We start from the raw sequence: 14,997 nt of genomic DNA, 5'->3' as shown, positions 1-14,997 counted from the left end.
CCTGGTATCCTCACCTTAATTGCCAGATTTTCTTTTTAAACTAATCTTTCACCAAAGGAATATCCCCTTTGATTGTCCTGGGTTAGTGTGAGAGACTGAGGTTTGGAGGGACCCAAGGCATCATCTTAGGTTCTAAGTGCTGTCTACATTTACCCCATTCTTCCAAACTACTTTCGATTTACTAGATTTCTCTTTCTCCTACCTCCAACTTTCTTGGAGGCTCTGCATAGAAAAAGTTTATTGGTTATTATGCATCCAGGATCTACTTGTATTATAGCAGAAAAGATTCCTAGGATATCTAATGTTTAATAGTTTTGTTGTAATCATTATCCATACTTTAGAAGAATTTACATGCTGAAATAATTATTTTCATGCTGTGTCAAGGTTTTTGTCATTTAAAATTTTTTATACAAGTTATAATTTATTTTGATACTTAGGATTAATTTATAATTATAATTTATTTTGATACGTAAGATTTATTTATAAGTATTTTATCCTTTGCTTGAGTCAAAGTATAGTGATTAAAAGCCTAGTTTGTAGGTAGGCTGGCCTGGATTTGAATTCTAGCTCTTTTATTTGCTATCTGTTTGACTTTAGGCTTCCCTGTTTCTTTATCTGTAAAATAGGGGTGATGAAAATATTTATCTTATAGGGTTTTTGTGAGTTTCAAAGAGTAAAGATAGAATTGTGCAAAGGTCAACATAGAAAAAATGCATTATAAAAGAAGCTGAGGGAAACAGAATAGGTATTAACATTAACAACTGCCCATCAAAGTGCCTTTGGTAGAGGGCAAGTGGATGGAAAGAATTCATGTTGTCCGTCTATGTTCTCTTTTCATCCCATAAAATGTCTATATAAAATTAGAATTGCCACAATTTTGATGACAAAGAAAAATTATTTCTAATCAAGAAAGCAGTCTATAGATTTAGTAAGGTACCCATGGTATTACATAATTCATCTTTATTTAAATATTGTCATTATGTGTAGGCAGGTTACAGTGCTTTGTGCTGGAAAGTATAAAGTAAATTTAGCAAAGTAGTAAAATTAGCCATACTTTGCTCAGATTTTTGCAAGTAATGTGCTATTCTTTATTATTGGGTATATTTACAATGGTAGATTGTATAATATTTCTTCTTGACTAGAAGATTAAAAAACTCATGATTACATAAATGACACTATGTTCAATGGGTTGTCCAATTACAAAAATATTTCACATTTTCAGCTCAAGAAACATCTACCATGGCCTTTTTGGTAATTTCACACATGTTTTATTTTCAGTGACAAGTGTTCTAGTGAGTGGCAAACTGCTAGTGTGTCCTTAGCTATGGTATAGTTAGACAAGCATCTCATTGCTGTGTTCCATCAGATACTGTGAGACAGCATCCATTATTACTCAAAGAGCATGATTTTTCACATCTTAAGGAATGGAACTAGTCATTAACTTGGCCCTAATATAGTTGAATTGGGGGAGCTGTATTGAAATATTATCTTTGTTTTTGTTTGCGGGAACGCTTCTTACCACTAATGTAACATTTTGCATTACTGACTCAGTATACTCTGCATGCTACAAACAAATAAATATCCAATCACTAGCCATTCACACCAATCTAGCACCTGCTAGCTAAAAAATAGAAATTACTCACTGGGAAATTTGAACAAAAGAAATATAAGCAGGATAATCACATTTACCTTCTGTAACAAAATAAGAATAATGCACAGAGTTTAAGGATGCAGCTATTGATTTGAATTTTTAATAAAAAGGTTTTGTTTTGCTTTAGTTTTGTGGGGTTGTTTCCACATATACGGATCATGTCTGCAGCTAAAGCTTCATATTTCATGTATTGCTATATGTTCCAGTTATGTTACTTTATATTGTCCTGGTAACTGAGGTAGCAAAAAGTTGAAATGTGTTTAATGGCACACAGTGTCTCAATTTGAACTTATTTTCTAATTATTTCTGATTTGCTAATAAGCTTACATTCATTTCATATGAGTAATCAACGTTTGTTTTTTATCTTAAAGAACACGTAAATGCAGTTCTTGGGTTATTTCATTAAGGACACATAAGTTTTTATTTCTCTGCATCTAATGAAACACACAAAACCTAACTGTGGGCATCGTCAAGGCTGAAACTAGGATCTGAGGAGCAGAATGGAAAGGGTGGGGGGAAATTGAATCAATTATTTTCCATAGTTTAAGGCATTGCTCTGAGGAAAAGTCATGAATCCTGAATGAAAATGGAATAAAGCCTAAGATCCATTGTATAATATGAATGTTGTAATAAGCTAGTTGCTACTATAAGAAGAAATTAAAGCTAAAACATAAGACTTTTATAATAGTGAATATCTTTTTAAATAATCACTTCAGTGAAGAAATAATGAGCATTTATTATGTTTGAGGCATTAAGCTAGGTATTGTGGATACCAATATGAGTTAGCTATGCCCTTACTCTTCAGGCAGCTTAGCCATGGAGACAGACACAAATAATGTCAACCTAATGGTATAGTTGTATGGAGGACACACAGGAGAGGGAAACATTGTTGAACACAGTAAGAACACTGTTAACTTAGGTTTTTCCGCATCTCCTCTCCCAAATAACGGAGAGAAAAGTGCCATAATTCAAGGCATTACTTTACATAGTTCATTACACTACATAGTTCAGAGGTTTATTGTCTGACTTCCTCCATGTCTTCAAATGTCACTGTGTCGTGGATTCCACATTGAAACTTGCAGTCTCTGCCCCGGTATTCCTTTTCTTCTGCCCTAGCTTCGCTGTTTCACAGCACTTGCCTTATTCGTTGCAACAGCCCTAGAGACTATAACAATACCTGGCACCAAGTGAGCGCTCAATGAATGAGTGTATTTTGCTTGAAGAGTTTGGATAGTCTTCATAAAGACAGCGACACTTAAGCCGGGTTTTGAGGAAAAACTTGTTCTTGAGTATAAAGTGTAGCTTTTTTAGGGGTTCATGGATAAAAAATATTCAGTTATTCATTTGCCTGTTTTTATTTGTGTATATTTAGGGTATACAACATGATATTTTGATGTACGTATACGTAGTGAAATGATTATTGCAGTCAAGTAAATTAACATGTCCATCACCTCACATAATTACTTTTTTTTGTATTAAGAGCACCTAGAATCTACTCTTTAAGCAAATTTTCAGTATATAATTTTATTAATTATCGCTCTCATGCTGTACATTAGATCTCTAGATTTGTTCATCCTATATAACTGCAATTTAGTCCCCTTTGACCTACATCTCCCCATTTTCACCATCCCTGCATTAATGGCTGTGCTAATTTACATTCCTGCCAATAGCATACAGGGTTCCCTTTTCTCTATACGCTTGCCAACATTTATCTCCTGTCTTTTTGATAATAGCCATCCTAATAGATATGACGTGGTATTTCATTGTAGCTTTGATTTGCATTTCCCAGATGATTGATAGGTATTACCATACCTATTGGCCATTTTTATGTTTTCTTTGGGAAAATGTCTGTTCAGGTCCTTTGTTGATTTTTGTAGTTGGGTTCCTTATATGGTTTGGACATTAACCCCATAGTTCACAAATATTTTCTCCCAATACATAGGCTATCTTTTCATTTTGTTGATTATTTCCTTTGCTGTGCAGAACTTTTTAGTTTGAAGTAGTCCACTTGTTTATTTTTGCTTTTGCTGCCTGAGCTTTTGGTATGATATTAAAAAAATCATTGCCAAGGCCAGTCTCAAGAAGCTATTTTCCTCTAGGATTTTTATTGTTTCAGGTCTTACATTTAAGTATTTAATCCATTTTCAGTTGACTTTCTCTGTGTGTTTTGTATGGCTTGGGGTCACATTGTAGTCTTTTGCATGTAGTTATCCAGTTTTCCCAGCACCATTTATTGAAGAGACTATCCTTTCCACATTGTGTGATCTTGGTGCCTTTGTTGAAAATTAGTTGACCTTGTAGGCTTGGGGTTATTTCTGGGCTAAGTCAGGTGAAGTTTTCAGCTACACTGTGCAGTCTGCACTCTGAGGACGGATAGAAGAATAAAAGGTCTCTTGGCCAGAAAAAAATTGTAAGTCTTTTGGGGAAGAGCAAACCAACATAGGCAAGATATTAAAAATGTTAAAGATATAATAATCAAAAGCTCATTGCACAGAATACATAGTAGTGATGTGGGAAATATCAGCAAGAAACAAGTCAACGTCAAGATATTTGGGAATGATTTCAAGAGACTTTGAAGTAAATGTGAATATCACATACTTTTTATGAAAATTAGCCTGTTGGAGTGAAACATTTACATTTTATGATAAATCTTTCTTCAGTCAAATATCAAAAAAATTTTTCTGTTTTCTACCAAAATAGGCAAAGCCGACTAACAATTTAAGATCTTCAGGATAGGGTGTATTAAGAAATTAACACCAAATGGCAATTACTATGTTAAATATCCTTTTATTTTATGCCAGGTACTATGTCGTTCTATTGCATCTCTATTTTTCTGCTCAATTTTCAGATGGTTAAAGTAATATATAGTAGTATATATATTACATAGTAGTATATATAGTAGTATATATAGAGAAATTTTGAAAAATATTTTGTGCAGAAAACAAAAAGCAAAATAAGACACAATATAAAGATGAAAATTAAAATCAGTAAAAATGCGACCCTTGGTATAAAAATCTCTTAAGACATAATAGAATTTTAGCTTTCAAAAATTATTCCTTTTTGGCTGGGTGCGGTGGCTCATGCCTGTAATCCCAGCACTTTGGGAGGCCAAGGAGGGTGGATCATCTGAGGTAAAGAGTTCGAGATCAGCTTGGCCAACATGGTGAAACCCCGTCTCTACTAAAAATACAAAACTTAGCCGGAAGCGGTGGTGTGTGCCTGTGATCCCAGCTACTCTGGAGGCTGAGGAAGGAGAATTGCTTGAACCCGGGAGGCGGAGGTTGCAGAGAGCCGAGATCGTGCTGATGCACTCCAGCCTGGGTGACAACAGCGAAACTCCGTCTCAAAAAAAAAAAAAAAAAATTCCTTTTTATGGTAAGAAAATATTTAGGAATTAATTTCGTTAGTGTTTCTGTGCTCTTTATCTGAATCAGCATTTTTATATCAGGAAATTACTGTATTTTGATTTATACTTTGCTCAGAATAATCAAAGAATTTGTGGCTATGTGATCATGTGTAAGTTCCCAAAACTATTTGTTTTCTTATCAGTTTTCCTCATTCATAAAATTGGAAATAACACCTGACCTACTGATTTCTAGGAGGCTGGATAAAGTATACATAAACTAGTGTATGTGACAGCCCTTTATAAAAATGCAAAACATTATTCCAAAACATGCCTATTTCAAAGTACACTCAATCCTGCTTCAGGTATTAGTGAAGTTATATATTTTTGTAAGTTGTTTTTTACTTGCTATGGTTTTTTTTTAAATTGAGATGTAATTCAGATGCCATAAAACTTACCCTTTTAAAGTATATAATTCAGTGCTTTTTGGTATATTCACAATGGTTTGCAACCATCACTACTAATTCCAGAACATTTTCATCACTCCCAAAAGAAACCTTATACCCATTACCTGTGTCCCCAGTTCATCCCTCCCGACATTTGGTAATTTTTGAGATTTTTTTCAAAGAACTTATGTTGAACTGAAATTCAACATAAGAATACTGCCATTTTTATTAATTTTATATTACATGGGGAAAAATAACTGATAATCTAATAGAAACCATTGGGCAAAGCATCACAAATTAGAAAGTAATAGGGAATTTTATTGTTTTCTAATCATGGATACCTAAGAAATATAATTGAAAACTATATTATATTTCATGTTGGTCACTATATTTTATGTTCTCATTCATTTTCTTGTAAATGACCATTAATGTAGTAATGCATGATATAAAGTAAGATTGTACTAGCAGTATTTGCAAATCTTGATTCTGTTCACATTAACAGACAAGCACATTCAAATGACCATGCTGTATTGTGGTCAAGAACTACAATAAGTAATACAAATAGTCACACACGCTTTAGGAAACAAGTAGAATTGTATAATAAAGATTTTGATTTGATCAAGCACCAGCTGTGTAAAATAATACTTTAAGAAATAGCTATATATTAGAATAATAACCCAATTTTAAATAATGAATTATCTAAGATATTTTAATAATTACCATTTGAATTCATTTATTCAGCTCAAAACAATTTTTAGCAAATGAAATAGCTGTGTTTCTCCCATATCTTTTCACCATTTTCTTATTTTACACCATGTTTTTGCAACCCTTAAGTTTCTATGATTAGCAACTTTTAATATGGAGATTATACCTGAAGTCAACAAATATATTTTGTTTAAGCATGTATTGTATTTATAATACATGTCATCATTTTTTGAAATTTGATATGAATTTAATGTATATTAATAAGAACTAATGCTTTGTAAGAACATGATGCTTCAGATTTGAAAATAAAGTTTACTATAAAACAACAAGAATTTTTAAGATAAACCTGCATAGCATTAAGAATGAAATTTTATTGTGTTAAAGTAACAGAGGTCTTAATTCTATATCCTTTGAAAGTGGTTGTATCCTAGTAATATTGCCAACAATAAACACATCATGCAAAAGTAAAAATGCAGTAGTGAAATGAGCCATTGAAAGAAAGAGTCAGTGACCATATAATATTTCAGTTTCTATTATATCTAGTAGCAATCTGGTTAAAAAGAAATGACAGTTGCCCTGAAGGAAATAAAGTGGAGGTATTATTGTAGTAGTAGTTTGGAGAGAAAATTGCACTGTGTCTTGACTGGATTATTTCTCTATCCTTGCAAACTATCTTCACCTCTCTGTGGTGCTGCTTCTTGCCTTCTTTATACAAATTGAGTTTGTATCATATAAACTCATAGGGCCCAGGGGCCCTTTGGTGACAGGGAGGAGGAGGAAGAGGGGAATTAGAAAAAGAAAATGTGACAGGCAGTTTTGAAAAGAAAAGCAATTTTCCTTGTAGGTCTGTTCCTAAATAGGAGTTCTTCAATGCAATATTTTGCTTCTGCAGAGCAGTCAGTCAGAATCAAGTGCATGCTTGTGCTGTTTTCTGGGGCTTGGCACTGACAGGTTTCATTTAGGAGGGGTAGGAATACAGGGGGATTGGATGTGGGGAAGTTAGTATTTTGGCTATATCAGCCCTGGAGGCAGAGTTAGCACTTGCAATGGGACAAAAGTATTTGTAGTCATCGGATAACTTTGCAGTCAGCTTCAATAGCATCACTCCTTTTTTTTTTGTTTTGTTTTTTACTTTTTTTTTCCACTTTGGCAGCCAAGCTCTTAGTAGAACCATCTGTCTTTCTATTAGTATTTTTGAGGCCTGTTTTGAAGCCACTTTGCTTGGCAAAGTCACTTTCATCCTTGGAAACGATTTTTAAAAAAAGTTCTGTGGCTTTTTGCCGAAGAAGAGTACTATGTAAAAAATCCACATGGCTGTTCATTTTTGTTCTAAAAGAATATGGCTACTTTGTCTTTGTCTTGAATCAAATGAAATTAGAGGTGATACAACTCCAATGTGACTGTTGGGAAGTTAGAGGCAGGGATTGCAATTTTAGCAATGTTTTTATGTGCCTATATTCCTCAATGAGATGTTCTTTAGTCTTCCTAGTAGATTAATTGGAAGATAAATTGACTCCTTTATTTTTAATTTTTCCTAAAGACCATTGCATTGAGTAGGATAAACTGACAAATTGACTTTCTTTTATATGAAATGAAAAATCAGACTATTAGCGGTCATTGAAGATCCCATGTCTCTTTTTGCTAATGGTGGAAAGTTACTTTGTTATCCTGGTTACTCCAGTTTGGGTAATTATATTCTGCCTACCTAAACCCCTCTTGTAATCTCATTTGGATATTTTATTCTTCATTTGCTCAGAAACTGCTGTGTATTGTTGCTGTGTGCTTCTAAACAGCTGCTATGCTCCCCACTGAAGGTGACTGAATTTCAGCTGTAGGTGAACTGATCCCTAAGGATGATGTGTATTTGAACACTGTAGCACTCATCAGACTAAACTCTTGAGGAACATTTGAAAAAGTTTTAGATGTTACAGTTTATTTGTAATTGTGCTGATATAAACCATAGAGCTGCCTTTCATTTTAACATTTGTGTATGTAATTTAAACAAATATCCTACCATAAGTTTGTGCTGTTTGAGATTTCATACAAACTCACTCTCATAAGACCTGTTCCTTTAGATCATGGAGTTCTTCCAGTTCTTTGATTCCTGTGTTTTTCCCAGTCTGGTGATGCCATCCAGGCCTCTCACCCTGTTTTTAAGCCCAAAGCCTATTGTTCATCAAAAGCAATTTTTATTTCCTCATAACTTGTCTTTGCTGAAGTCCTCCAGTCTGCTTCTCTTCCCCTGAATGCTGGAGTTCATCTTCTCTGATGCTCAGTCACAGTGATTAGGCACGTTTTGAGAAAAATCACAGAAAAGGGAGATCTGATAATATTACAATTCATGTGGTCTCACCTAAGGTCTTGGCATCTTCTATCACTCTTTTTAATGTCTGTGGTTTTGCTTGCTCTTTCATTTCTCACAATAACCATCGAGAACTTCCTGGAACCTTGTTCCAGTTTTCTTCCTCAATTCCAATCTCTCTAATTTTCTGGATATGAGCTTGCCTTATCATTGAGAAAATTTCTTCTGTCAGGCCTGATTTTCCTTACCTTCCCCTTTCCCTACCCATAAAGCACATCTGCCTTCATCCATTTATATAGCTCCATTCCTCAGGGCCCAGAGGATGAGATGCCACTCTCATTCTAAACTGATTGCTCCACCTCTGCCTTGTCTTCTAGCCTCCTCCGGAATTTTGGTTAGTTTCTCTCTTTCCTACATTTGAAACTCTCCATTTCTATTTGCCCCTTTCAGCCAATAAATGTGCTCAGAACCCTGCTACCTGAAAAAAAGCCTTTGCTTCACTTTACATCTTTCTACAGCTGCTATTAATGTCTCTCCTCACCTCTCATCAACTTCCTCTGAAGAATAGTCTACATTTGCTTTCTCCTTTTCGTTGCCTGTCATTCAGTCCTCACCCTTTTGCAATATGATTTCTACCCTCTGTTCTAATGGAAGTGGTGTTATTATAAATTCAGCTTCTAATCATTCCCAGAGATGTTATTTTTGTCTCTAGAATACTTTCTGCTTTTTGTTTTGTTTGTTTTTCACAATTAGTTTACTCCCTCAATCTTGAAATTCCCTTGGCTTTTGTTATACCATACTCTTCATGATTTTATTAATTTTTGTCTAACTTTAATTTTATCTGCCGATAGGCACCTTTCCTCCACGTTTTGTTGAACTGTTGTTGGAACCCAGATGGTGTTAAGCTGTTCCCCTTTTTCCTTCAGATCTTTTCTAGATTGTCTAGGCCATTCTCATTAACTTCTGGCTTCCCATAGCGTGGCCTCTGAAGATCTCCTCCCTCAGCTTCGGACTGGAGTGTCCATCTGCTGGAAAAATAACTGCAATGCAACATCATTCAGCCACCTCAGCCACGTCATATCCAAAACCGTAGCCATCACTTTTGCATGAAAATTATCACTTCTACTCTGAATTTTTAGTTGTTTGATGCCACTATAAGTAGAGTGACATCAAGTAAACATTATCTTTGATTTTATCATTTTTTCATCTATGAGTACTGCAATTTTTTTTCTTAAATATTTCTTTTCTTTTTTTTTTCTCCTCATCCATTACTCTTCTGCTGATCTAGCCCTCATAATCTGTTCCCTTATATTAACTTCCCACTTGGTCTCTACGCTGGGTCTCTCCAGTCTTTTTCCATATCCACCAGAGTATTCCACTGACCCTAATTTAATCCCTCCGTGATTCCCCAGAGCCTACAGGGGAAATCTCTAGTTTCTTACCCTGATGCATAGACTGATTCAGGCAGACCTCTCACCACTGCTTTCTTCATATTTTTTGCCATTCCTAGCTGCTGGTAGTGTCTCCCTCACATGATGTTTTTTTCTTGCCCCTGTTCCTTTTCTTATGTCTCTGTCTCTGCTCCTTACCTATTCAGGCCCTATACCTGCCACTCCTGCTTTCACAGGGCCTTTAGTGACTTCTCCTGGCTGTGTTAGGAGCCTCTCTTCTGTACTTCCATAGTATCCTATACAAGTCTGTATTATTGAATTAACAGTAGTACATTATAATTATCTGTCTGTTTGCCCCACCAGATTCAGAGCTCCTAGAGAGCATCCATGTATGTGAATTCATCTTTTAATCCCTAGTTACCACAGACTGCATATTCTACTTAGCAGATGTTGATTGAATAAATAGGGACATGTAATGAAATTCCGATTAAATAATCTTAAGAATCTACTTAATACATTAATTTCTTGAAGCCATTGAATGTTTCAACAATAGAACATTTACATAAAATATAAAATATTTAACTATGAGTAATTGATAGGTATTTACTTGTTCTTCATAAATGGGATAATATAAGTGATTTGTGTTGGATTCATAACATCTTAGAGACTATGTAGTATCTTGAGGTAGACACATAAAAAGCATTAAGACGGGGCTTCTTAAAAGTTTTTAAAATATAGGAAGTAGCCTCTTATGTGTATTATGAATTATTTAACCTGCGAATAACATGCCCCCTAGCTTTTAAAAATTTATGACAGAAGTATTTTGTTGAAACTTAATAAATGTCACACATTTTCAACTTTAATGAGTGGTTTAAAGGGAATTTCATACATTCAGTGAAAAAGAAAGAAATTAATAGTGATCAGGATTTGGAAATATTCAAAACTAGAAAATATATAGAATGAATTACTAACCCTATACCAAGTTAGTTTTAGAATCTACCCAGAAAACATATCGTTTTGATATTGTGTGTCCTTTTCTCCCAAATGTTGGCTAAATTTCAGCATCAGTGCAGTGAAAATCCATCAAGATATAGGAATAATACAGTCACTGCTCATTGTTTATATGTGTTATGGTCTATAAAGTTGCTATGAACACTGAATTAGTGAATGCTGAACAATTGCTCTTAAAGGAAGTATGGTTAGATTCTTGCGAGCTTCCGGTCACAACTTTTTCTTCAGCTAATCAATATATAACTTTGTTTTGTGTGTGTTTTTGTTTAAAAATACCTTGTTTAATATTTATTACTGATTCATTAACATTGAATTCGCAGCCAACAGCAGGATATCTCATGCCTGAGCAAAGCTTATCTAATACATAGTCTTCTGCGTAAGTCACACCACAGCCCTCTTGCCTCATAAACACTAGACAGCACTTAAGCATTATGCTTGGGAGCTTTTTAAACAAAAAATTACCAACAAAATTGTTACCTGCTTTGTGCACGTCTGCAAATGACCAGGAAAGTGGCATTATTAAAATTGGGTACGAGTAAATTTCAGCCAATAGGCAAATTTGCAAATACAGAATCCACGAATAATCAGGATCAACGATATTTTGAGATGTGTTTTTAGTCGCTCACATAGATTAACCACACATTTTGGATTACATTTATTTTACTGTTTACTGTATTCTTTTTATTAATAGTACAGTACTCTACAGTCTGTTCTATGATGGTCTAATAAAAACCAATCACTGGGACTGTGAAATTAGGTTTATTTTTCATTTAGCTCCCTTTTTTCCACCTTGTAGTTCCTCTTTCAGTTCCTTTATCTCCTACTTCCCCTCACTAGATTGAGACAGGAGATGCAGTTCCAGCGTAAGTTTGGTTTTAGCTAAATATGGGATCTTGAACAATTTATTGGGCCAAGCTAGGTCTTATTTCCTCATTAGCATGTTGGCTATGTTGTTGCTGATAATCTCTAGGGTCTTTCTCAGCTTTAAATTTCGATGTCACTCTTTACAAGTGGATCTTGAAAAATTTAGACACTAAAACAAATTATAATACTAAAACAAAATGCATTTTCATAATCTGATCTATAAAAGACCGAAGTTTAGAATGCACAGATTTAATAAAAGCTCCAGAATTCATTGCAATTTATTCCTTAAAATACTAAAACTTTTATCTGAAAGAATATTATAAACGATTAAAGTATAAATTATCTAGATAAAAACCACCATAACAAGAATGCTTTATATACAAATAATAACCAATTAACAATATAGCCAATAAAACTTTCCCTATATAATGCTTTGTAATTTGGTGTCATTGCTGAAAACAGATCTACCATTCACATATTGCTTTTCTCTCTCCCTCTCTCTGCCGCCCCCACCACCACACACACATTGCCTTCTCTTTCACCCTCCCTCTCCTCCCCTTCTCCCTCTCTCAGTCCTCGCTGCCCCCCACACTCACCAACCAAAATCTCAGAAACAGCTCAGAGGTTTACTGTGGAAGATTAAATAAAGGAGAAATTGAAGGTGGTGGGCTTTTAAAGTGAGAAATGATGAGAACTGTAAGAATCGTAAGAACGCTAGGAATGTGTAATGCGACTGGGAAAACAAGAAAACAGATCTGAAAGACAATTCAGAGGTGCTGTTAGGATTAGTGACTGAATAAATATGTAATTATCTTTGTGTATTTGTTTCTTTTACTTTTTTCACCGCCATCATCCCTACTATAATCAAGGCTTCATAGATGTGGGATTTTAGTTTTCTTGTTCACTATTGCATCTCTACTGCCTAGCTCAGTTTCTTGCACATAGTAGATATTTATTAAATATTTTACAAATAACTGTTCAATGTGTGGGAAGACTAGTGGAGGAGAATAAACTGTCAGAAAGGTAATTTTAAACATGATCCCAAATTACCATCCATATATCCATCCATCAATAAACACTAACCAATAATCATTTTCACCAGCGAGATCTTGCTTAAATATTTGTTCAAAAAAAGTATTTTAGTTAGTGACAAATCTCTAGTTAATAATGTGACAAGGCTGCAGAAATGGCCACATTAGGTTGTATTTCTAAAAATTCCTTTTCGGCTCAAACAAGATAGTGATTCTATTGTGCTGGATTATTTATTAACTAATGTGAACCCCATACTCTGAGAGTGGGACCAGCAAATTAGAGTATATTCCAAAGATGACAACCAAAATGGAGACCCTGTGGTCTAAGGAGTCCTTCAGTTGCTTCAAAAGGGATAGATGCAGGCAAAAATGTTGTACAGGGAATCTGTAGCAGGATTCAAGAGACTGAATTCTAGACCCAGTTCTAACTAATTCTGTGGCTAGTCAGTTATCTTTTGGCACTACTTACCTCTTCTATTAAAAAAAAAAAAAGAGTAAAGTTTTAGCTATTCTGTAATCTTTCTTCCAGGTCGATTACTGTATTCAATAATTTAAAAATTCAATATTATGTGTGAACATGAGAATTTGTCCTCAAATAATGAAGAGCTATTTACATATAAAATGATACAGGTTTAGTTAGTTTTGTTTTAGATGGTAGAATTAGTCCCAACAAGTAGGATTTGCAGAGGGCGATTTCAGTTCCTTCTATGGGATAATTTTTTAGCCATTTCATTAGTGCAATAAGAAAAAGGCTTATCATGCAAAGTAGTGATATTTTCGTCACTGCCAAGGATATCATTTCGGGAAACTATTCGTCGTGTTAGAGAGTCGACTTAATAATACCTTTCAGCTCTAGGATTTTCTAGTTCTGCTGTTTAAGGTAGTCCCAAAGCATATCCTCAAGCCCAGTATCCCAGCAAGCTTCTATGCCAGTCTTTTGAATTGAATAAATGATTTTCTTTTATCATGAAATAAGGAGGGTGGGAAGAAGCATGGAGCATCGAAACTTCTTCTCTTTGATTCGCTCTATCACGTTCAGCAGGTTCAAGGTCAGCTGCCGCCATTAATGATTCCCGTATTCCCTCCTGATCAACGGACACTGGCTGCAGCTGCCCAGCAAGGATTCCTCCTCCCTCCAGGCTTCAGCTATAAGGCTGGATGTAGTAAGTACTGTTGATTTTTCATCTGGGAGTGGGTGGAGGGCAAAGCTTTAAATTAGGCAATTTAATATTCCTGCCACACCAAGAAATGAGATCACCCATATAGCATTTTTATTTTAAAGAGGAAACACACAGAATGTGTGGAGAAGTGTGTTAGTACTTAAAGGACTTAGATTAAATCTGTGCTTCTGAAGCCAATATTCTTTATAATTCAATTTCATGACTTCGATTTACAGTGTATTGTTAATGTATGAATGTAATTTGTGGGTTCATTTTATTTTTTGCATAGATGACATAGGAGTATGCTTTTTACCACCTTTTTAACAGTGAGATAAACCCAAATTCCCTAACATGAATGAGTTGGCCTTCTGTTATTTGTCTCTTCCAAATATTTACAGCCTAAATTCTCACCAGTCTTTTTAGTTCTTAGACCGAACCATTCTTTTTCTTGACTCTGGACTCGCATCATCAGTATTCACTCTCCTTCATATTGTGAAGTGCTTCTAGCTCAGATTAGGGAGCGCTTGCCTGACTTGACTTAAGTTAGGTCCCTTTCTCCGGCTTCCTTTGGATTCTGTATATTTTCTTTTTATTTGTAAACTTTCTGAAGGCAGTTGCTGATTCTGTCATACTCATTGTTGTATCTCAACTTTTAATACACCATTCAACGTTTTTGAATGAATGAATTAATGAATGAATACATAAGCAATATAGAAGACATTTTTGGAGCTACGTGATATACTAGGATAACTGTTTATATTGCTTATTAACTTTAGATGCCTGTGATTTCATGCCTTTTTCTCTTTCTTACCCAAATATAAATTGCACATTGTTAGTCTTAGGAAAAAATACATCATTTGAAAAAATTATAGTCAAAATGCCAACTGTATTCTGTAAGATAAAAATAATAACACATTCTAAAGAGGGGCTAGATTGCTAAGCTAGATATCTTCCAGAACATCTTTACCATGGCCAGAAGGAAAATAGTAAAAGCAAGTTCATTGAAATATTTTCATTGATAAAAGTGAACACCACTGAAAAAAAATAGTGAAATATTATTTTAGATAATTACACAGAATATTGTTTTTAAATT

At 34.6% G+C, this 14,997-nt stretch overlaps 1 protein-coding gene across 42 annotated transcripts in view; it reads left to right on the top strand.

The window, feature by feature from the left end:
* Positions 1-14,997, top strand: part of SOX5 (SRY-box transcription factor 5) — a 1,033,147-nt gene that overhangs the window by 883,300 nt on the left and 134,850 nt on the right. For 30 of the 42 annotated variants that reach the window (XM_024449159.2, XM_024449158.2, XM_047429458.1 and 27 more), the window contains one exon: positions 13,784-13,907. In XM_024449159.2, coding sequence (XP_024304927.1) covers positions 13,784-13,907 — 124 coding nt within the window. The remainder of the gene's footprint in view (positions 1-13,783; positions 13,908-14,997) is intronic. The other 12 variants (NM_152989.5, NM_001261414.3, XM_047429465.1 and 9 more) reach the window with 1 other exon arrangement.

The sequence above is a fragment of the Homo sapiens genome, chromosome 12 (genome assembly GCF_000001405.40).
Source record: "Homo sapiens chromosome 12, GRCh38.p14 Primary Assembly".
Lineage (NCBI taxonomy): Eukaryota > Metazoa > Chordata > Mammalia > Primates > Hominidae > Homo > Homo sapiens.
This window is presented reverse-complemented; position numbering and strand designations above follow the sequence as displayed.